Here is a 24,539-nt window from a genome sequence, read left to right on the forward strand (position 1 = left end):
CAGATCATTGTTTAGTGTTCTTAGACTCAAAGAATTGAGGATTAGAAGAACCCTTTGAGGATATTCAATTTGTCTCCTTCCTGCATAGAAGGCTTTACCCAAACAATTAGCAGATTGATGGATTTTTTTTTTTCTTAAACAGCTCTAGAGAACTGTGTCCTATACAGAGTGCATGTTTTAGGGTAGACAGGAATGCCAACTTGGGAATCATTCTAAATACATAACATGTTTATGTTTAACTCTTTTCAGATCCAAAAGTTGTGGACACATATATAAAATTTAATTTGCTTCTGTTAATTCAGAGATGGAGTATAAAACTTCAGGGGAAAAATATGTATTTCACAATTTATTAGGGAGAGAATTCCTCCTCAAAAAGTAACTTGAATATTCCCTCCGGGATTTACTTTCTCTGTGTTATATCCCTAACAAAAATTTCTTTTCACTACACTAACCCTTCTTGCTGCATTTGAAACATATTTTTTCTTGTCCTATTTTTGGTGAAAGTTGAGTGATGGTATAGAATGTTGAATTATTAATCTTCTGGGAATACTCGTTTTTCAAATTGAGAGCTATGCCAAGAAGCCTCTAGGTTAGAGTGGTAAGCCTTTGGCTTCATAAAATGCCTGCCTGGGGGTATTAAGAACTTGTTTTGCATGTGTGAGTAGTCTTCTCTTAAGACTACAGAGCGACATCTCCTTTCTGTACGACTGTGGAAAAAGAGTTCAGAATAACCCATCAAACCAATACTTGTTAAGATGGTACTTCAGAGAAATTAAGTGCTTTTAAGTGACACTTCTTACTGAGTTGAGGTTTTTCTCAGTACTTCAGAAGCCCAGCACAGCTTCTGGTCCTTTTTCATAATCTCAGGATGCCTTTACATGTTAGAAGCAGACTGCATTTCAGTGAATGTCATTCGAAAGAGCTACTCTTTTTTTCCATGAGCAATACAGAAAAGTGCAGAAGAGGAAGCATAGCCTTTGCTTCTATTTGCTTTTTATTTGGTTGTATTTTTTTCTTGGTAATATGCTTTCTTCCTGTGCTACAAACCTCCAGCATACAAAGTAGAGTTCATAGTTTTACTGTTTGGTGTATTCCATGTACAGCTGATTGTTGTAATTGGACTAAAAAAATACCAGCAGCTCAGAGAAGCCCTGTGTTCTGTTTTTAATTTATTTTTAATTTTTTTTTTTAGAAACGTCTTCTGTAGTGGCATAGTTATAGCTCACTGCAGCCTAAAACTCTTGGGTTCAAGTGAACCTCCTACCGGAGCCTTCTGTATAGCTGAGACTATAGATGCATGTTACCACACCCAGCAGTTTTTAGTTTTTCTTGGTTGTTGTTTGTTTTTGAGATGGAGTCTCGCACTGTTGCCCAGGCTGGAGTGCAGTGGTGCAATCTCGGCTCACTGCAACCTCCGCCTCCCAGGCTCAAGCAGTTCTCCTATCTCAGCCTCCCTAGTAGCTGGGATTTCAGGTGTGTGCCACCACGCCCGGCTAATATTTGTATTTTTAGTAGAGATGGGGTTTTACCATGTTGGCCAGGCTGGTCTTGAACTCCGGACCTCAAGTGATCCACCTGCCTCGCCCTCCCAAAGTGCTGGGATTACAGGCGTGAGCCACTGTGCCTGGCACAGTTTTTAGTTTCTTCTACTGACTACTGAGGAAGCTTATTTCTGATCTAACGCAGAATAGACAGAACAGTTATTATTTCTTTTTCCAGGATAACTTCCTTTCTCTTCACTTTTACGACATTTGTCCTTTTCTGGTTATTGCTTTGAAAACAGGAGTAACCTGATGCAAACCCTGTGTCTCACACTTTCCTCCCTGGAAACTTTTTACCTGATAAATGCAGGACATGCAAATTACATCATGCTGTATTTGCTAAGTATATGAAGAAAAATTGTAAACAGCCTTATTTTAAGTGTAGCAAATAAAATGAGAAATCACCTTAAAAACAAATTTATTTCTCACAGTTCTGGAGGCCGGGAAGTCCAAGATCACAGCACTAACAGATTTGGTGTCTGCTGAGAGATCTTTGCTCTCAAGATGGTGCCTTATTGCTGTGTCATCCCATGTCAAAAGGGCTAACACTGTTCTCACGTGGTGGAAGGACATAAAAGGCAAAAATGGCAAAAAGCCTCTCCCTTCAACCATTTTTTTTAAGGTCGCTAATTCCATTTATGAGTTCCCCACCCTCAGGACTTCATTACCTCCTAAAGGGCCTCTGTCTTAATAGTATCATATTGGTGATTAGGTTTCAAAATAATGATTTTGGGGGACACGTGTAGACCATTACAGTGTGGAAGAGGCCAGTCGGAGAGAGTGAAGCCAGCATAAAGGCAAATGAAGGTAAAATAGAGACAGAGAGAGTAATCCTTGCCACAGTTGAGACCCTGGGTCTGGACTTCCTAAGGCCTTGTGCCACCCTGCCCTTTCAGTTACTTGGTTATGTAGTAGCCAGTGATTTTCCCCTTTTACAAACCAAAGAGGTTTCAGTCACTTGAAACTGGGAGAATATTGGCTAAGGTAGGTAAGAGTCGTTTGACAGATGAGAAATTTGAAACTTGAAAAGGTTGACTGATGTGCTCATTTTCTCATAGCTGATGAGTTACAGTTACAGGATTAGAACACTAACTACTGTTGATCTTTCTTAATAGCTTGCCTTTCTCACTTGGCAAGGAAGATGGAAGTGGGGACAGAGGAGATGGCCCCTTTCGCTTAGGTGGCCATGGGCCTTCCTTTCCACTAAAAGGAATTACCGAACAGCAAAAAGAAGGTCTTGAGATAGTGAAAATGGTGATGATATCTTTAGAAGGTGAAGATGGGTTGGATGAAATTTATTCATTCAGGTAAGAATTGAAAACATTGATGGGAATTTTTAATTGTACCCACGTAAATTTCTCTTTTGATTAGAGGTCTCCCAAATGTTTCCTTTTTCTGGGCCACTCTCTAATTAGTCATTGCTTAATATTCTGAGTTTTATTAAAGAAATAGTACACCCACCCTTAATCACCCTTTTTAAAGTTTGTGTTCTTGGCACATGTTTCTCATTTATTTCCAGGACCTGTGTCAGTGAAGTTCAGGAATATATAGATACCATGAGAAATTAACAAGTCAAATTGCAAAAGATGAAATAGTAGATTTCTTCATTATGCCAAGCTTGGGATACATTTTTTGGGCCCTTTTTTTTTTACACATCTACAAAAAACATTATTAATTATAGAAAGTGGTCTCAGATCTGAGATAGTCAGTATCTTCTTATCATCCTATTAAGGTTTTAGAAAGTAGCATACTATGGTATAGTGATTTTTTTTTTAAACTTTTGATCACAAAGCAGTTTGATTGAGTGAAAAAAAAAAAAACCTGCAATGTAAAGAGTTCATAGCCTACTTACTTTACGTGGGCGTTGGAAAGGCAAAATGATTTAAGAAAAGTGAATTCCTTGAAGTACCGTATAACAATAAAGCAAACTGCTTTTTCAACCATCCAGCTAGAGACTATGGAAGAGACCATCTCCTTTATCCATCTTATTCTTGGTTGGAATTGGACATACATGCATTTTGAGCAAAGAACCTAAGAAGAATCGGTGGCATCTAGAATAGTGTGTGTCCTATGGGGTTCAATTTGGTAAAAGTGGCAATAGAGTACTTTACATAGCAGTATGGCTTGGGTGGTTCAAATTCTCAGGGGTAATACTGCTTGATATTCTTGAATTATTTCCAGCTTATCAGTCTGTACACAAAATACTGGCTGTTTAAGCACATTGAAGTAGTGATTGAACAACTAGAATTTTTTTAAGTAGCTACAGTGTATATCTCCTTAATATTTTTTCTAAACGACCATTTTTAATATTTCTGATGAGCTATAATTGACAAAAATTATGTTCTGATTTTCTAAATACAGACAGCCTTGAAAAATGATAGGTAAATTTAGGAAACAGAATTGCCCACGGGATTGCCCTAGGAATCAGTGAGGAATCCTGTGAGGTGAAGTTTCTTGGCGTAATGTGTTCTTGTCACAATATTTACAGATATGTGTTCCTAAGTTGTTTCTCTTTCAAATTTTGGAATAAATGCCTTAAGCTAAACATATTACCCATGATATCACAAAGAAAAATTAGGCTGGACACGGTGGCTTATGCTTGTAATTCCAGCACTTTGGGAGGCTGAGGTGGGCAGATCACTTGAGGTCAGGAGTTCGAGACCAGCCCAGCCAGCGTGGCGAAACCCCGTCTCTACTAAAAATAAAAAAATTAGCTGGGCATGGTGGTGCATGCCTGTAGTCCTAGCTACTTGAGAGGCTGAGGCAAGTGAATCACTTGAACCTAGGAGGCGGAGGTTGCAATGAGCCAAGATCATGCCACTGCACTCCAGCCTGGGTGACAGAGCGAGACTCCGTCTCAAAAAGAAAAGAAAAATTAGAGGCCAATATAGATTACTCTTTAAAAAGTGTTTTTGTTTGTTTTTTAAATTTTTCTGTAGCATATCAGATAGGGAAATTACTGACTATGCATTGTTTTAGCATTTCGACGCTACTTTGATTTTAGGTCTGCCATGAAGGTGTAGACCAGAACTTTGCCATCCAGTACAGTAGCCATTAGCTACATGTGGCTATTTAAATTCAAGTTAGTTAAAATTAAATACATTTTAAAATTGAGTCCCTTAGTCATATTATCTGTGTTTGAAGTGTCTATTGGGCTAGCATGGTTAGAAATAGAACATTACCATCATTGCAGAAAGTTGTACTGGACAGCACTGGACTAGATTATCTCCATATAGATCTTAGGAAGAGAACTTGACATCTACCTGAGGAGATTGAGCTCTACTGCAGAACTGAGTCAGTTGTTCTTAGATTTTTTTTGAGACAGGGTCTAGCTCTGTCATCCAGGCTGGAATGCAGTGACGTGATCTCAGCTCACTGCAACCTCTGCCTCCCAGGTTCTAGCAATTCTCATGCCTCAGCCTCCCAAGTAGCTGGGATTACAGGCATGCGACACCATGCCCAGCTACTCAGATCTTATATATTGGATGCCCGTCTTTAGAATTTTCCCTGAAATAGAATCTAAATCTCATGGTGATTTTAGGCCATGAGGTTTATATTCTGTTTGACTAGTAATGTTGTATGAGACACGTTAGACCTGGTTCAGACCCATTCATTCCTCAGCAAATCCAAAGCCATTGTGCACCATAGGCTTTGGAAGCTGGGTGTCAGGTAAGATATCTACTATTCGTTGTAAATTATTTCTGAAAATTGGAGTCTCTTGCGACCTGTCTGTCCATAACTCTGTGGATAATGTAAAATAATTCTCTTTACCACTTTGTAGATCTGTTTTTTATCTGTACCAAGGAGTTCAGCCAGAAAGTCTGGACTGTATGCTTTGAGTGTATTTTGTCATTAATTTCTTTGCTGCTTATTTTAGTGAATACCACAAATTCCACCTATCTCCTATCATCTTCCCTGTTGTGTTTGATTATGGGCCAGATGAAAATATGATTGATTTTCACTTTTGTTTAAATGAAGCAGCACTCCACAACACTGTTTGCACCTCTCCCCAGCTTTTCCCACCAGTAAGAAACCTAGAGTTAACGTGCTTTACCTTGAGACTAAATATGAACTAAATTCCTTTATTCCTTGGATAGTCTTTAACTCTCACTATTATATACATATAAAAATGTGTATCTTTAATATTCAGAATTGGAATTAATGAATTATAGAGTTGTAAACAGTGATGATAATTATAGGATGGTGCCCTCCCTTTGATACTCTAGAACAGAGGTTCTTTTTTTTTTCCTTTTTTCTTTTTTTTTTTTGAGACAAAGTTTCATTCTTGTTGGCCAGGCTGGAGTGCAATGGCGCGATCTCAGCTCACCGCAACCTCCGCCTCCCAGGTTCAAGTGATTCTCCTACCTCAGCCTCCCTAGTAGCTGGGATTACAGCCATGCGCCACCACACCTGGCTAATTTTGTATTTTTACTAGAGATGGGGTTTCTCCATGTTGGTCAGGCTGATCTTGAGCTCCCGACCTCAGGTGATCCGCCTGCCTTGGCCTCCCAAAGTGCTAGGATTACAGGTGTAAGTCACTATGCCGGCCCTGAGCAGAAGTTCTTATCCTCAGGTCCGTGGTTTTCAGGGAGTTGGTAGTGAATCCTTTATATTGTGTGCAGACTCATTCATGAATGTGCTTTTATCACATCCTCAAAGGTGTGCTGGTCCTGAAAAAATGTTAAGAACCTCTGGCAGAGTTGAAATAAAGTATTGAATAAGAGGAAAATAGAGCTGTTCATTTTCACCTGTTAGTAAAGTAATTCAGCTCCTCTTCCCTTCTAAGCCAACTCACTCTTGCCCTGGCTATATCTCCCAACTTGTGGTTGTTGTTTTCCGGCCATCTCCTGCTGTTTCTCTCTTTATAATTAACATTAGCTCACTTCTCATTGTAGAAAATCAAATGCATCATCCAGCACAAGTTAACATTTAAAAATTGTTGCTTTCATTTTATATTTTTCTTTATTAAGTGAGAGTCTGAGAAAACTGTGCGTCTTCAAGAAAATTGAGAGGCATTCCATTCACTGGCCCTGCCGACTGACCATTGGCTCCAATTTGTCTATAAGGATTGCAGCCTATAAATCGGTAAGTGGCAGGTACACATTTTTAACAGAAATGTTACCAGGCAGATAAATATGTGTATATAAGGAACAGACAATTCATGTGTGTGTTACTCGGAACCATAATTACTGCTTTTCTAGTTGTTCTCCCTGCTCATTTAATCTCTGTTTAGCTTTTTGTGTAAAAGGCAGGCTAGGAGAGGAAGTTTAAAGAATTGTCTATAATAGAGTTTGATTTCCTCCTCTTTTACTTTCTCTCCATTGGTAATTGATTGTTAATCATAAGTTCTAGGCCTGTCTCTTTTTTTTAAAAGAAAGAAAATGAAATGCATTAAGCTGTGTTATTGTAGTATCATAGCAGAAATGTAGATAATGCACCAAAGTTAAGTTCAGTTTTGGAGCTCAGTGACACCTAATTCAATTATGAATGATCTGATAGTAACAACATCTGTGAAATGTAAAAAAATGTTTTGTTACTGTAAAATTGCATTTTATAATATATGTACATTTATATACAATAGCACACTTTAAAAAATGAGTTGCTTTTGGTGATTATTTGATGAAATTCTAGTTTGAGTAGGAATCTGATGCGTGCCTTCATATAAGCCTCCTTGCCTTTTTCCTTTAAGTGTTCAAAATAAATAGGAACATTTTAGACATATAAAATAAATATACAAAAACATGTTTTTATGTATTTAGTTTTTTTCTTTGTATATTAAAGAACTTAATTCCAAAATACATGATATATCTGTGAGAACCTTGGGGCAGTTCTTTATTTATTTCAGCTTCCATCAAAGCCTAGAATAGTGTCCCTAGGAATGTGAATATAGTCTCCCTCCTCTTTTATTTTGGCCTGCTTTTCAAATTTCTTTGTTGATTTCTGACACAGATATATTGCTTCTTTTTTTTTTTTCTATTGGAAACTATGATAAAATGTATAGTCCTCTTTTTATTAAACAGTCTGGCTGGGTGCAGTGACTCATGCCTGTAATTCCAGCACTTTCAGAGGCTGAGGTGAGCAGATCACTTTAGGCCAGGAGTTCGAAACCAGCCTGGTCAACCTGTCTCTACTAAAAACACAAAAATAGCCAGGCATGGTGATGTGCGTCTGTAGTCCCAGCTACTTGGGTGTCTGAGGCATGAGTATCACTTAATCCCGGGAGGCGGAGGTTGCAGTGAGCCAGGATTGCACCACTGCACTCCAACCTGAGCGATAGAGCAAGACTCTGTCTCAAAAAATAAAAATAAATAAATAAAAATATTAGACAGTCTGAGGTTTTGTATAGAAAGTGTGAATGTAAATATTTGTGGATTACTTTTGGGAGAAAATGAAATGTAGAGAAGGTTATCCAGTATATTTTGTTATGAAATAAACTAAAATTTTCATAATAGGCATGAGCAAACAAAATAATGGAGCTAGAGTAATTGTTCTGGATTTTTGTCTGTGCCAGAGAGTGTATTAGGTTTTCATCTTCTATCAATTGGAATCCTAACTTTCCTTGTTTTCCCTTTGTGTTTTGGAATGTAAGATTCTACAGGAGAGAGTTAAAAAGACTTGGACAGTTGTGGATGCAAAAACCCTAAAAAAAGAAGATATACAAAAAGAAACAGTTTATTGCTTAAATGATGATGATGAAACTGAAGTTTTAAAAGAGGATATTATTCAAGGTATGTCAGTAAGAGTTTTCACTGTTGCCTAAAAGACATTTTCTTCAACATGATGTGATGCAGGCTGGGGTTTGTATTATTCTTTGTTTAAAGTTATTTCTTTGAGTTATAGAAATATAACAGTTTGAAAGGATAATGAGACCCTAGGTCCTTTAGCTCATTTGTTGGGTCTTAGGCAGGTTGCTTCTCAGGAGTACACTTGGGTGTTCCATCTCTGTGAGTTTTAAATGTCTTAAGTGATAGTACTCAATACTTGGCTTTATTTTAAAGTTTGAAACTCACTAGCTAGGAGCATGTTTAATATGGTTGAACTAAGGTTTTTTTGTTTGTTTTATTTTTGACTTTCATGGTGATTATTCTTCTAAGGGCCAACTTCAGGTTTTATGTCCTACCAGATATGCTTCCTTAATTTAGGGGCTGAAAATTATTTGTATTTATTATATTGCTTCATATTAAATAGGATTTTTTAAAAGTTGTACTCCTATGTTATACCCATTTGGATTGAATAGTGTGTCTAGATGGCATCTTTATCCAGAGGACTTAGAAACTAGCTGAGGATATCTGTATGTTCAAGACCTAAAATTATTAAGATACCAAATGATGGTTAAGATAGAAACAAGAGTCCTTAGATAAATGTTTTGCCAGGCTATTCACTACCCAGTATAGTTTTGATTTGCAAGTCTTGAAAAGAATTCTTTTCCTCTGTGACACTGTATTTCATCTTACAGTGTATATATTTGTGTGTGTTGGAGGAGGGGGTTGTTTAAAGGTGGTGGTGGTTATGATTCCTTCCTTTCTCCTGATGGATTATATGTAGAATATAATTAATACCCTACAATTTCTACCAGTTCTTGAATTCAATTCTGTAGCATAGAACATGAATTTTGGAATCAAACCTGGGTTAGAATCATGGTTCCATCATTGGTTAATCATTTGATCCTAGTATAATGACTGGCTCATAGTAGGAAGAATAGCATGATTAAAGCCACAAGACCTGGAAAGTAGGGGGACTTCTCAGAGATACTAAGTAGTCCACTTGGGTTGGTGTATTGAGCATATACAGGTTAGTACTTGAGGGTAACATCTAATGGACAGCCTGCATTTTCTCTTTTAATCATCAGCGACCATCTTATAAAGCAGGCACTCTTTGTTATTTCCATTTTATAGATAAGGGAACTGAGGCTGAAAGACACTCGTTCACATATTCAAAGCCCCACAGTTCTCAACTAGCAGGACTTGGATCTAGGCCTGTACTGCTTCAGAGTCTGTGCCTGCATTCTATTCTGAATTTGGACTGAGTAATGAAGGGCTTTGGATAATAGGCTAAGAGTTTATGCATAACCTTGAAAACAACGTGGAGCCACTTACAGTTTTGAGGAAGAGAATGTCACTGGGGCTATATTTTAAGAAGATTAATATGACAACTGGTTGTAGGATGGATTGGAAGGAGAAGGATCTAGTGATAAGGATGGATGCCAGTTCTTTTGGTTGTCAGCAAGGAAGGCATCCCTGGTTATCTTAGGCAAAAAGGAAATTTATTGCTGGGGCAATGGAGAGGGAAGAGTTAAAAACTGCTTGGGTTCAAAGAGCGTAGAAGTGCATCTTTTCTCCTGTCCTCCAGTTTCCAGCCCCTAATCAGCTAGAGGTTTTTGCTTTTTGTTTTTTGTTTTTTCTTGAACTAAGGGACCAGTATACACATGTGGGCAAAGGAATCTGGTTAAATGTTGTAGTCTATTGTAAGTATACAATGTACAAAAGTTGGAGTTATATGCCATTTCAGTAGATGAACCAGAAAACATGAAACAGTTTTAGTTAGAATGTTCATTACAAGTTACACAATTCACACGATTCAAGTAAGATGATGACTGATGACAGAGATTAAGACAAACATTTGGTTTAGGTACCAGTCTTAATCATGTGCCATACATTTCCCTGTTAATTTTTTGTTGGAAAGTTTGGTTTTGTCACTAGCTTTTTAAAAAAGACATACATGGAAATAAAAATGTGTTTCTATTTTGAGACGGAGTCTTGCTCTGTCGCCCAGACTGGAGTACAGTGGTGTGATCTCAGCTCACTGCAACCTCCACCTCCCAGGTTCAAGTGATTCTCCTGCCTCAGCCTCCTGAGTAGCTGGGACTACAGGCGCGTGCCACCATGCCTGGCTAATTTTTTTTTGTATTTTTAGTAGAGACAGAGTTTCACTGTGTTAGCCAGGATGGTCTCAATCTCCTGACCTTGTGATCCACCTGCCTCGGCCTCCCCAAGTGCTAGGATTACAGGTGTGAGCCACTGTGCCTGGCCTAAAAGTGTGTTTCTTTTTAATAAAATAAATGTCATCAACAGACTAACAGGAACAAATAAACACTAGATCACAGAATCTGTCCCTGGATATGAAAGTTTTATTGTGTCTTGGGGTAAAGATGCATGTGCTTTTCCTTTGCATTTGTCCAAGGCCAGAATCCTTGGATTTTGATGCTCCTTCTTCCCACAAAACATAGAAGATACTGTGTATTGAAAGGGTGTGATTTTTCATAGAATATAGGCTACAGAACAGGGCTGGACTTTTTTTTTTTTTTTTTAAGAAGCCGAGAGCCTATGTTTATATAAATATCCTATGTAATTAAAAAGAAAAATACAGTTAAATCCCAGAAATAAAAGAAATTTAAATATAGAAAAATATATAACTTATCAATTGAATGTTTCCAAACAGAAGAGTTTTAGCTTCTGTCAGGCATTGCATATCTCCAGCATACGTTTTTGAGAACATTTTGTTCTGAAAATTTCCTGTTGGCATTTTTCTCTGTGGGTCTCTAGGTTTCTGAATAATGTGTTCTTATGTTTACAAATCATGCTGTACTTTAGTCAACCATGGTTTATCTTTGGAGGATAACTAGTACGTTAACATTTGCCAGATTTTTTCTTTTAGGCTGGGTAATCATTGAGCTAACTAGATTGCAAAATATGCTACTTTAAAAAATGTAATTAGATTTTAATCATCTCTATATTGTATGTGTGGTTTGTGTATCTGCTGCTGCTTTTTCACCATTGATCACAAGGGGCAGTCATCTGATTCCAGGGAATAGAAGATGGAGGCTTGCTCTGGCGTGTGCGTGTGTTGTTAATGTATGCATGGAACTAATTTCAGCTTGTAGAAAATGAGGCCCCATATGCTTAACAGATGCTCTTCTCTTTTTCTCCAGGGTTCCGCTATGGAAGTGATATAGTTCCTTTCTCTAAAGTGGATGAGGAACAAATGAAATATAAATCGGAGGGGAAGTGCTTCTCTGTTTTGGGATTTTGTAAATCTTCTCAGGTATGATTGTGAACAAACTAAATGAGCTTTTTCCTAGCTGTTATTTGAAATGGTATGCTTTTGATTGGTCATTTTATTTATAAGGTATATTTATTTCACTTTTAATTTTTCTAAAATGTAGTCTGGGGGTTAATGTTGCCATGGTATGTATTTTATACATTGGGAAACTGAGGTTCAGAGCCGTTAAGTAAATCTATATGAGCATAGCAAACTAAAAATACAGGATGGTTTTTGAATGGGGAATGGAAGCGGAGATGAGGGGTATTTGAATTATGTGGGCCTAACCCTCATCCCTTTGAGGTTCAGTCTTCTTGAGCTGGTATTATGGTGAAAGTGCTCATAATGTCTCAACTCTAGAGGTGGGAGGGCATAAAAATGCATGAGAAACATTGCCCAATACAGCACATTGCATGTTCTTGAAAATAAACCGCAGGCTCCAGATTTCATAGATCAGACAAAGTTGATCTTGGTAGATAAGTGCAGGTGGTTATGATTTTCAGAACTCTTCAATACTCATTTTCTAATCTGGTATTAGTAGAGCTGTCTTGACCCCTCTTGATACTGTGCTAGATAAGTTAATTGAATTTAAGGGGGTGGGGGGAGAGACATGCAGTACTTATTTTTGATTTAATTTCTCTTTCTTTCAACCCTTCCCCTCTAAGTCTTCACTCAAGCCTCTACTGTTCATCAGTGCCTCAGTGTTACTCTTAGGAGGAAATGCAAACCACTTAGCTTTGTTTTTAGGAGACTTCATCATCTGATCTTTGTTAATCTCTGTAATCTAATTTTTCACCTTTCCTCTCACACAGTGGCACTGTACTACTCCAAGAGCAGTTCTCCAAATGTACCATGCTTTTACAGCACTCCAGACTTCTATTGATACTGTTTTCTCTGCCTGGAACGCTTGTGCCCAGACTTTTCTCTTAGTTCCTATTTGTCCTTTTAAGTCTCGACTTAGGTGTCACCGTTTGCAGAAACCTTCCCTGATCCCTCATGACCAGGCTTGGTGCCCTCCTTATGTGCTCTTAAAGCACCATGTAACCCTGGACCATAATACTACACTGCAGTTAATTTCATATTTATCTATTGAAGCTCCTCAAGGGCAAGATTATGTTTTGTTCACTGTTGTGTTTACAGTGCTCAGATAATCTTGAACGCATGCTGGGTGCTCAGATATTTGTTGTGTTGTATTGAATTAAACTTCAGGTAATAAGGTGTTTTTAGTATCTGAATGTTTTTCAGTAAGAGGATTTTGAATGGAATTTCTTGGCAATGTGTGTCATGGTTATACATGTTACTTATTTTGGATCAAAAGCAATTCTTTTCCTCTCTTGTAGGTTCAGAGAAGATTCTTCATGGGAAATCAAGTTCTAAAGGTCTTTGCAGCAAGAGATGATGAGGTGAGTTGGCAGCAGGTCTTTGAGGTAGTGCTACAGAATTGAATTGTAAGTCTATGAAAGCAAGTTGTTTGGGGCTTTTATAGTTTAAAATGACATGAATTCTTGCAATAGGAGTGGGGAAATCCACTGATGTTTAACTGAAAATGGAGATGTGGTAAATGGATTTGTGTTAGCATGAGCACAAGACCCGAGGACATGGAGACCAAGGAAGTATTAAAAACATTTTGAACCACTGCATTTAGGAATGGGAATTTCACAGTCAAATGTTAAGGAGGGTTGGGGTCAGGTTGACATTTTGTGTTGTCATAAGCATCCTGGATGTGCACTTCAGTGACTCACTAGACTGCTTTTGTCATTGAGGAAATGTGTCTTTTCTCTATTCCTCTCTCTTGGTACTCTTCCTGCCTCCCCAAGATACTCTGTTTTCAGGCTGGTTTTTCTCTAGCTAACAGCCTATGACTGCTGCATTCTATACTCACATCTGCCCTTTCTGTAAATATTTACTGTTTGATCTCCAAGTTAGAACTAACTTTGTTGGAGATACTGATTTTAACTGGAAGATTGCAATCTACTATCTGTTTAAGGCAGCTCAAGCAGGTTTCCAAGTTCCTGAAGTATTTGCATTTGTAATTAATAAACTGGATGTAGAAGGCTTGTTTGGGGTGGGGGTAGGGTGGTGGTATAACTAGTATAGTTCTCTTTTTCTCCTCACTTCTGGAAGGTAGCTGGTTGCTGATATAGTGGATGGGTATGCCATTATTATCTCAGAACAGTTAAGGGAAGAAAATGTTTGGCTTCTACCCTGTTCTGAATGAATTATTAGAGCACAATATTAGCATACATGAATCTTCAAATTTGAGAATCCTACTTCATGGATTTCTCTTGAATCAAATCCTGTTGGGAATCATGGAAGTCTAGTATATACTGTCAAACCACAACTTAGCTGAAGTTTTATTTTGTTTTGTTTTTTTAAGAGACAAGATCTCATATGTTTCCCAGGCTGGCCTGGAACCTCTGGGCTCAAGCGATTCTCCTACCTCTGTTTCCCAGATAGCTGGGACTATAGGTGTGCGCCACCATTCCTTGCTTCTGCTGAAGTTTTAACTTCCACTTACTGTCTCTTTATGCAAAGAACATTCTGATCACTTCATGAGACTTGCTGGGTATGCAGTGAGGAATCACAAAGTTGTGTTGAGACACACATGTTGGGTAATGATGTAGGCTTGCTAGCTAAGGGCAGCCTTGTGGATTGTGTAATTCAAATCTGGCCTTATACAACACTAATTTCTGTATATCATAGGATCACTTTGAGATAACTCAAGAAAAACAGATTTATCTCCTAATGGCAAAGGGATACTCTCTAGTGTCAGTTTTTGAGGTAGTCAAAAAATGATAATATCTAATTGGAGCTTCTGAGATAAGCAAGGGAGTAAGGAAACAATGTCATATGAGGACTTCCAGTAAAACAAAACAAAAGAATGCCTGGAGAAGACTTGTGTAGGTAGGCAGGGGTGTAGGAGGGATGGCAGACATAATAGCACTCTTCATGCATTTGGAGAATTATCTTGTAGAATAGAAATTAAACTCTGCTTCGTATCAGAGGGGTGAACTGGAAACAGCAGGTGGTGCTTTTTGTTCAAGATGAAGAATTATTTTGTCAACAAGGATTACTGTCCCCACTGGATTGTTTTCTTGTAAGATGATCAGATCCCCATTTCTGTAAGTTTACAATAAAAGTCTTTATCACCACTAGTCAGATGTACATGTGGATTGTTAAACTAGATGAATACTGTTGTTTTTTAGCTCAAATATTCTGATTCTTTGGATAATTCCCTCTTTAAAAAGTTTTCTCTGGTCATTAGCATATAATTTTTTGTATTGAGAATCTATACTTTCATGTGCTGATTTGCACTGTGTGTAGAAAACAAGGAGGGAAAAGAAAGGAAGGAAATGGAGCTTTAGTTAAGTTATACACAGCTGTAGTACTGTTTCACCATGTAGCAGTCATTCACAGCCCCATCCTTCCTTCTTGTTTTTTTTTTTGTTTTTTTTTTTTGAGACGGAGTTTGGCTTTTTGTAGCCCATGCTGGAGTACAGTGGTACGTTCTCGGTTCACTGTAACCCCTGCCTCCCGGGTTCAAGTGATTCTCCTGTCTCAGCCTCCCGAGTAGCTGGGATTACAGATGCCTGCCACAACGCCCGGCTAATTTTTGTATTTTTTGTAGAGAAGGGGGTTTCACGATGTTGGCTAGGCTGGTCTTGAACTCCTGACCTCAGGTGATCCACCCCCCCCCCTCCTCGGCCTCCCAAAGTGTTGGGATTACAGTTGTGAGCCACCGTGCCCAGCCCCTTCCTTCTTTTAAACATCCTAATTGGTCCTGTCAAAGACATATAAATAAAAACTTCAAACAAATTGGAAGTAATCTCTTCCTCAGATTCTCATTGTGCTTATCTAGCCCTTTCTTATGGGACTTAACTATTAGAACATACATGTTTCATATTTGCTACATATCTCATTTCTGCTAATAAAGAATGTATTAGGTAAGTGAGGTCAAGGACTTGGCTTTGTTTTTTCACAGGGCTCAAGACAGTGCCTGGCAAAGAACAGGCACTGAGTAAAGTAGCCTTTGAATTGAACTGAAAAAGTAATGATTCTGTTATGAAATCTGTACAGGATTCTAATGGCCAGGTCTTGGGGTCATAGTTTTTTTGTTTGTTTGTTTGTTTGTTTTGTTTTTACAACAGCATGGCTGGGAGGTCATAGGTTTTTAACTTTGATAAGGTTAACCGTGATAGTGAGAGAAGTACATAGTGTTTGGGGAGTTTCTGCAGAGAGAGAGAGAGAGCTGACTAAGGTAAATCTGGAATGGAGAGGGTATCAATTTACTAAGCCTAGAGAAAAGGTTAGAAGCTGGAGAGCCAGAGATTAGTAAAGGGGCATTCTAGCTAGGAGGTAATGGTATGAGCAAAGGCCAAGTATGAGACCTGCCCCCAGTCAGTGATCAGCTCAGTGATGCCAGAATAGAGGAACGACTGGAAGGGAGTGACGTGATGAGCTCTGGGAACAGAGGTGGCTGTCAGGGAAGAGATGGATTTGAGAGACAGTATAGAGGTAGAATTGGTAGTTTCGTGAACACTTAAAAGGTGAGGGATGAGGCCCAGCACTTTGAGAGGCCAAGGTAGGTGGATCACTTGAGGTCAGGAGTTCGAGACCAGTCTGGGCAACATGGCAAAACCCCATCTCTACTAAAAATACAAAAAGTTAGCTGGGCATGGTGGCGCGTGCCTATAATTCCAGCTACTCGGGAGGCTGAGGCACAAACATTGCTTGAACGGGGGACACAGAAGCTGCAGTGAGCCGAGATTGTGCCACTGCACTCCAGCCTGGGGGACAGAGTGAGACTCTGTCTCAAAAAAAAAAAAGTGAAGGATGAGAATGGTGCGGTGGCATTATCAAAGACCGGGGTTTCCAGTGTGGTTGATTAGGCAATGATGTTAATGGAAATAGGGAATCCAGGAGGAGAATGAGGGGGAAAGATAGTAAGTTTAGGTTTTAGTCTTGTCGTGGTGAATGTGAACAGTTCATACTGAACAGTTTGAGATAACTGAAGATGCCATGTCAGATATCCACCAGCTAGCAGGCAGTCTAAGTCTAGATCTTAGGAGAGTTTTAAAAATGAATGTACAGGCCTGGTGCGGTGGCTCACGCCTGTAATCCCAGCACTTTGGGAGGCCGAGGCAGGCGGATCACCTGAAGTTGGGAGTTTGAGACCAGCCTGACCAACATGGAGAAACCTCGTCTCTACTAAAAATACAAAATTAGCCGGGCGTGGTGGCACATACTTGTAATCCCAGCTACTTGGGAGGCTGAGGCAGGAAGATCGCTTGAACCTGGGAGGTGGAGGTTGCGGTGAGCTGAGATCACGCCATTGCATTCCAGCCTGGGCAACAAGAGCGAAACTGTGTCTCAAAAAAAAAAAAAAAGAAATAAAAGAATGTACAGATTTTTGATTCATCAACTCATGGGACTGGATGAAATAATCCCCAAGTAGAATTTTAGAGTGAGAGGAGGAGGGAAAGGTCTAAAGTAGAATTTACAAATTGGTGGAGAAAAGAGAATAATCAGGGGAGAATGTTGTTTTTGAAGCCATGAAGGAGAAAGTATATAGAGACAGTGGAATGGTGAGATGCTACTGTCAAACAAAAAAATCGAGAACCAAGGAGTTGGCAATTAGAAGGTGATGGGTGACTTCAGAGGATAATTTCATTAAGGAAGTGGGGGCAGTAGCTGGACTAGACTGAAGAATAATAATGCACTAAGCAGTGGAAACAGCATGCCTATTATTTTAAGAAATTCAGAGGTAAAGACAGGAAAGATACTGATAGCAATTTGTGGAGAGGGAAGGACAAACAAAAGATTTGTTTAGGAGGGCTGACATGAGTTTATTTTTAGGGTAAAGATAAAAATTTAGAGAAGGAAGGTTGAAGCAGTAAGACGGATTTAGTTAATGAGGTTAAGTCCCAGAAGAGCTACAGTAAATGTAATCAAAAGCAAATGTGTGCACTTCGTCCTTCAAGTCAGGGGGCACCCTAAAAAATGTAAAATAGAAAGAAAGTGATAACAGTCTTAAAGTATTGAGTTCTGTTGTGAAAACTCTCACATGTTGAATATGTGTTAATACATCCATCTTTCTTACCAGGCAGCTGCAGTTGCACTTTCCTCCCTGATTCATGCTTTGGATGACTTAGACATGGTGGCCATAGTTCGATATGCTTATGACAAAAGAGCTAATCCTCAAGTCGGCGTGGCTTTTCCTCATATCAAGCATAACTATGAGGTAAAACCCAAAGTCTTAATGTTATTTTTTTTCTTCAGTTCCTTTATTCTAAGCAGTGTTTCTCAGCTGTTAATGTTCATGACAATTACTTGGGGATCTTGTTAAAATGCAGATCCTCATTGTGTAGTTCTGGGGCAGGGCCCAGATTCTCTGTTTCTCTCGAGAAATGCTGATACTGGTCTGTGAACCACACTTTCGGTTGGAGGAAAAAGTATACGTTATAAAAATAATATAAGAATCTTTTAATTATAAAGTATCATAAGAATCTTTTTATTAAGTATTATGAAAATCGTTTTAGATTAAAAGAATAATCAATAAAGGTTCACCATGGCCTTTTCTTGGTTCTCATCCTTCTTGACTTATTGGAACCAAATAGAGAAATTACCTCCATTTTTACAAATGAGAACTATGAATAAAGGCTGAGGATATGATTTTGTTGTGATCTTTGTGAAACGGTTTATTTAGGGCTCTCTTGTGTAAAATACAGTTCTAAATTCCTTATCATTTCCTCTGTCTCAGAGAACTTACTGTGGCCGAACTGGAAAGAGAAGGCACATATCTTGACTTCCAGGTCAACCTTCTGGTCACCCTAGTCTTCTCATTTGTTGTATTGGTCATGCATTTGATAGCAGTCCTTTAGTATTCTTTTATACATTTCTCTTATGCTTAATATTCTTTATACTGTTTGCAGTTGTGAACAGCCAGTAGCAGAAGTCAAAACACTTCACTTTTCATATGCCAGAGTTGGGCTGTCCGATTTTTGAAATATTTCTGTTATGCTACTTTCACAGAATTTGGGATCAGTTTTATATTTTTTCATTAATTTCATCGTTTCTGCTTTTACCCCCTTTCTTTCTCATTAGTGTTTAGTGTATGTGCAGCTGCCTTTCATGGAAGACTTGCGGCAATACATGTTTTCATCCTTGAAAAACAGTAAGAAATATGCTCCCACCGGTGAGTTTGTTTTCATTTAGATCACTCATTGACTACACACACTGTTCTTGGGAAATCACCTGTCTGCTAGTTGTTGGTTGGGGCTAGGTATTTATAGGGTGCAATTAGTTGGATTTCCAATCATACACTTAGACACAGTAATGATGAAGGTGGTTTACTTGGTGTTTTTCCAGTAGTAGGGATAGGTTTGCCTTAAACTCACCCAACACTGTCTAGTTTTTGCCTTGGAGCATGTACCTAGGGGAAAGCTTGATGGTAATGGATGTCCATCTCTAGTTGTGAGCAGAGTTTGCCCCTGCCGAAGTGAATCTGAGCAGTATCAAACCTGTGACTTTAGTGTTCTGTGTAAAGTCTGATGTAGCTTTGAAATGAAAAGTGACAGTGCTGAAGATTAACTTTTCTCTTTGCCCTGTTTTTGTAGTTTGCACCAACAGTCCAAGTCTCATTGTTACTTATTTCTGGCTTTTAGGAGTTACTTCAGGCTTGATGTGAAAGCTCCTGATTGAGCATCTGGCTGCAAATGTCAGGGTCCTATATAGAATTATTCTTAGAGCCACAGGTCCAGTCTTCCAGAGAGCCTGTCATTTAAAACAATTGTAATAAAATATAATAGGGGGCAGAAGTAGAAAACATACCAAAAAGAACAACAAATGATGAGTAGATGTTTTAGGTTACAAGTTTATATATAATGTCTGTGTCTGTGTTAAGATTAGGGAATTGTGAGGTGAGTCTCGGAACTCAATTCTTTCTGTTATTTTGGCTAGACCCTTTGGAAGTAGTGTGCTATAGAAAGGCCAAGAATCAGATGGGTCCCTAGGGCCTGTATCTTTATCTTCCTTCTAGAAATGAGTCTGTCTGCATCACGGTGGAGGCAGGCATGGACCTGATTATATGGAAGTTGCCACTGTATTACAGTATTACTCTGTCTCTATTTCCTGATAATTCCAAAATTTAAATGAGTAGAATATTTAATTATTTATTTATTTGAGACAGGGTCTCACTCTGTCACCTGGCTGGAGTGCAGCGGCGTGATCATAGCTTACTGGAGCCTCAAACTCCCTGTGTATTAGTTCATTTTCATACTGCTGATAAAGACATACCCGAGACTGGGAAGAAAAAGAGGTTTAATTGGACTTACAGTTCCACATGGCTGGGGAAGCCTCAGAATCTTGGTGGGAGGCGAAAGGCACTTACATGGTGGCAGCAAGAGAAAATGAGGAAGAAGCAAAAGTAGAAACCCCTGATAAACCCATCAGATCTGGAGTGAATAAATCTATAGACTTATTCACTATCATGAGAATAGCACAAGAAAGACCAGCCCCTCTGATTCATTTACCTCCCCCTGGGTCTCTCCCACAACATGTGGGAATTCTGGGAGATACAATTCAAGTTGAGATTTGGGTGGGGACACAGCCAATTCTGGCTCAAGCAATCCTCTTGCCTCGGCCTCCTAAGTAGTTGGGACTACAGGTACGCGCCACCGTGGCTGGCTCATTTTTAAAATTGTTTGTAGAGATGGAATCTCACTATGTTGTTGTGGCTGGTCTTAAACTCCTGGGTTCAAACAATCCTCACATCTCAGCCTCCCAAACTGTTGGAATTATGGGTGTAAGCCATCACGTCCAGCCCAGAATATTTTTAAAAACCCAGTTTATTGATAATTTATTTTGTCGACATAAATCACTCAGGATCTGAAACATTAAATATCTTCTGTTATCTATTTTCTGTGAGTTAACATTTGTTTACATTTTCTCCATTGGAAAAATGGAACATTAAAGTTATTTCATGTATTTCCCAGTAGATGTCTATGTAGGAATGCAATGCCAGGATGATCTGGCCTCCTGCTACCTTGTAGTAGTAGGTGAAAATCACTGAATGTTCACATGTACAAGTACTGCCCCCTACCTGTTGCTGGGAGGGCCTTGAATTAGCAAGTTCAAGATGGTGTTGGCTGTGCCATTGCCTGAAACCTCCATGGTTTCACCATGAAAAGTCCATAAATGGGTAAAAAAGAAATATCTGATGATAAATATCTGTATGCTCTTTTATTTTGTTGTAGCTGTACAAAAGGGATATTTGAAAAGGTGCAGAATAGAAGTATAATGTACTTTTTAGGAACTACTTACTCTTTTCCACCTTTTGCCTGGTGACTGTGAATGTTCCAGAAATAGTGCCTCAGGTTCAACAGCTGAACTGCTGTATGAATCAGTAAAATGAAAGTTACACACAGTAGTTTAGGCAGAAGTATTTTTGGGAGAATTGCCTTTCGTCCATATTGCTTTGGGCTGTACCATTTTTATTGACTGAGTAGATTTTTATTGAGGAGCACTTGTTTTTTATTAGTATTAGGAGAGACCTAAGGAAAGAGGATGTCGTATTTCTGCTCTCATGGAACTTGAGAGTTTGAATGGAGTAGGGCAAGACATGTACGCAGGTGTGAGTAGTGTCATGGAGGCATTAAGAGAGGAGAGAGCTTATTCAGCCTCAGTAGATTGTGAAGGAATCAGCTCACCCTGATCCAATGGTGTCTTCCTGTTAAGGTGCTGTACTCTGATAAAAGTTATATTAAAGTCATTAAAATGCTTATGCTTCATTACCAGAGAGGTTTTTTCTTTTTAATGTTTTTCTTCTTTAGCTAATTACTAGTTTTTAAAATATTAGCTCAATGGATACTAAATATTTTGTTCCAGTCTCCTTATAGGGATTGGTTTTTATATGGCTGTATTCCTCTGAAACAAACTTTCTTGCTTTTGATCTGATACTCCATTGTCAGAGGCTCACTGAATGGTAGAACTGGAACCTAATCAGTCAGTCACTCTAAATCGATCTTTTCATGGATAAGAAAACCAAGACTTGGGTTAAATACGTGCATAGCTAGAGAATACTTTGGCAGGGCCAGGACTGTATAACCTGCCAATATTGCCGTGGATATCTCTACGTAGAAAGCATTTGTTTTAGTGGAGAATAATGGAAATAATCATTTTTCTTTCGGCTTCTCTGTTTAAGAGGCACAGTTGAATGCTGTTGATGCTTTGATTGACTCCATGAGCTTGGCAAAGAAAGATGAGAAGACAGACACCCTTGAAGACTTGTTTCCAACCACCAAAATCCCAAATCCTCGATTTCAGAGATTATTTCAGGTAAGAGAAGAAGGATGAACAAGTCATATTTCTTTTAAATGAAAGAGAGCTAAGTGCAAAGTTGCGGTAATTGGCCAGTCCTAAATAAATGTCTTTTTTCTCTGAAGGCCCCATTTGCTCTATTTAATGGAAGAATAACATCTTCCTCTCCTACTTCAGAAGGTAAAAATATTCTGAGCTCTTAAAAAGAAAAATAAAGTTGGAATGCTTTCTTTCTTTTCTTTTTTTTTTTTTTTTTTTTTTTTTTCCTGGAAGAAGCTTACTTTAACAAAAAAAATACAGGAAGGCCAGTTGCCTATGCTGGAGTGCAGTGTTGTGATCATAGCTCACTATAGCCTCAAACTCCTGTGCTCAAGCACTCTTCCCGCCTCAGTCTCCTGAACAGCTGGGATTGCAGGCACATGCCACCATGCCTGGCTCATTTGTAAAAATTTTTGTGAAGACAAGTCTTGGCCACGTGCGGTGGTTCATGCCTGTAATCCCAGCACTTTGGGAGGCTGAGGCAGGTGCATCACTTGAGGTCAGGAGTTCAAGACCAGCCTGGCTAACATGGTGAAACCCTGTCTCTACCAAAAAATAAAAAAATTAGCCGGGCATGGTAGCACGTGCCTGTAATCCGAGCTTCTCAGGAGGCTGAAGTGGGAGAATTGCTTGAACCTGGGAGATGGAGAGTGGAGTTAGCCGAGATCACGACCCTGTACTCCAGCCTGGGCGGCAGAATGAGACCGAGTCTTTAAAAAAAAAGAAAAAAAAAGGTTCCTAGGCTGGTCTTTAACTCCTAGGCTCAAGCATTCTGAGTAGATGGGACTCCAGGTGTATACCATTGCCCCCAGCCAGATGCCTCTTTTATATTTTTTCAGGCTTTTCTCCTGTATTGTATGTAAATAACACTTTTCTTTGTTTTCTATATCAAAATAGTAGGAGAGCTTATATGAACTCTATAATAATATAACATTGTTAGAGAAGAAGTGTTCTAATGTCACATTTCTCAAAAATTTCATAATTAAAGGGAGCATAGGGGTCAGATAAAAAGGTTATATTGTGAAATTATTAAAGAATAATTAAAATACAGAAAATATAAAAAATCTTCTGAATCTGAGTCCAAAGGAATTGGAAGGCAGAGATTGGATTAAGGTAAATTGGGGAAGTTGACAAGAGAGCTGACTTATGCTGAGGAAGGGGAGGGCTAGACCAAGGTTGAAGGAGAAAGGAATATTCCAGTCCTGGATTCAGTTGATGACAGCAGGACATAGGCTTCTCTGACCCCCACAAAACTGAAAAAAAAATTATATAAGCAGCTTTTTAAGGCAAGCTGTTGCTCACAGAGGAGTAGAGGGCCCTTTTCTGCAGGTTGGGGGTAACAGGGCATGTGCTGCAGAGACCACAGATTCTCCCTTATGACTCACTTCATGAAACATCTGTAACTAACTTAAGTCCATATTGGGGCTTGTGATTTGAGGGATCCTCTACTTGAAAGAAACTGCCTGTTTTTTTGATGCTTGTAATTCTTTTAAGTAGTGAAAAAAATCTTTTGTTCTAAAATTAGAGATGTGAAGCTTAACATGTGAAGACTTGACTCTGAATACTCATGCCCCTCAGTTTATGATGGGGATACACGCCTATAAACCCATCTAAGTTGAGAATATAAGTTGAAAATGCATTTACTACACCTAACCTACCAATCATCATAGCTTAGCCTCACCTACTTTAAATGTGCTCAAAACACTTCACATTAGCCTACAGTTGGGCAGAATCATCTGACAATATCATGCACTGTAAAGGTTGTCTACCCTTGGGAGCTGCAGCTTGATATCACTGCCCAGCATTGTAAGTGTCCTACTGAGTTCTACTGAATGAGTATCGCTTTCACACTGTTGTAAAGTGGAAAAATTGTAAATTGAACCATCATAAACCAGGGACCATCTGTACTCTAGCATGCTAAGTGTAATGAAGTATAAATTACAGATATAAAAATCCTTTGGTGTTTTTTTGGCAAATGTACTTGAAGACCTAAAGCCTTGTGCCATTTGTAGGAAAGGTAGGAGCAGACCAGTTCAAAGCTTACCAAAATGGTTCACTGTGGAGAAAAAGAGAAACTTCTATTAATACTATTTTGCACACTTATCTACAGTAGGTTGTATTTATCTTTAATAAATGCTTATTGGAATAACAAACAGATACAAGCCATAAATGCAGGCATTTTTATATTCCAAAGCTGCTGCAAGCACGGGCTTTGATTTTTATTAGTTTGTTTTGTGGGGGAGAGTTTTTAATGTGGCTTATCTATATAAAGAAGTATCTTCACTAGGATACATAAACTTAAAAAAAACTTATTTATTGAGTACTAACAATGAACCACGTGCGAAAGATACTATAAGCTGCTTTTTTTTTTTTTATTTTTATTTTGAGACGGAGTCTCACTCTGTCACCCAGGCTGGAGTGCAGTGGCGTGATCTTGGCTCACTGTGAGCTCTGTCTCCTGGTTCACACCATTCTCCTGCCTCAGCCTCCCGAGTAGCTGGGACTACAGATGCCCGCCACCACGCCCGGCTAATTTTTTTTTTTTTTGTATTTTTAGTAGAGACGGGGTTTCGCTGTGTTAGCCAGGATAGTCTCGATCTCCTG

The 24,539-nt window shown here is 38.8% G+C and overlaps 1 protein-coding gene across 1 annotated transcript in view, besides 2 other annotated features; it reads left to right on the top strand.

Annotated features, from left to right (window-relative positions):
- Positions 1-24,539, top strand: part of XRCC5 (X-ray repair cross complementing 5) — a 96,946-nt gene that overhangs the window by 10,058 nt on the left and 62,349 nt on the right. Inside the window, exons 6-13 of the mRNA NM_021141.4 lie at positions 2,657-2,848; positions 6,512-6,626; positions 8,131-8,269; positions 11,470-11,582; positions 12,920-12,982; positions 17,683-17,820; positions 18,684-18,774; positions 21,781-21,914. Coding sequence (NP_066964.1) covers positions 2,657-2,848; positions 6,512-6,626; positions 8,131-8,269; positions 11,470-11,582; positions 12,920-12,982; positions 17,683-17,820; positions 18,684-18,774; positions 21,781-21,914 — 985 coding nt within the window. The remainder of the gene's footprint in view (positions 1-2,656; positions 2,849-6,511; positions 6,627-8,130; positions 8,270-11,469; positions 11,583-12,919; positions 12,983-17,682; positions 17,821-18,683; positions 18,775-21,780; positions 21,915-24,539) is intronic.
- Positions 23,034-23,153: an enhancer, noted in NCBI's record as "active region_17091". NCBI's record gives its function as "activates an Ori minimal core promoter by ATAC-STARR-seq in GM12878 lymphoblastoid cells {active_cell/tissue: GM12878}" and the evidence as "EXISTENCE:reporter gene assay evidence [ECO:0000049][PMID:35858748]".
- Positions 23,324-23,433: an enhancer, noted in NCBI's record as "active region_17092". NCBI's record gives its function as "activates an Ori minimal core promoter by ATAC-STARR-seq in GM12878 lymphoblastoid cells {active_cell/tissue: GM12878}" and the evidence as "EXISTENCE:reporter gene assay evidence [ECO:0000049][PMID:35858748]".

This window comes from Homo sapiens, chromosome 2 (genome assembly GCF_000001405.40).
Source record: "Homo sapiens chromosome 2, GRCh38.p14 Primary Assembly".
NCBI classification, from domain to species: Eukaryota; Metazoa; Chordata; class Mammalia; order Primates; family Hominidae; genus Homo; species Homo sapiens.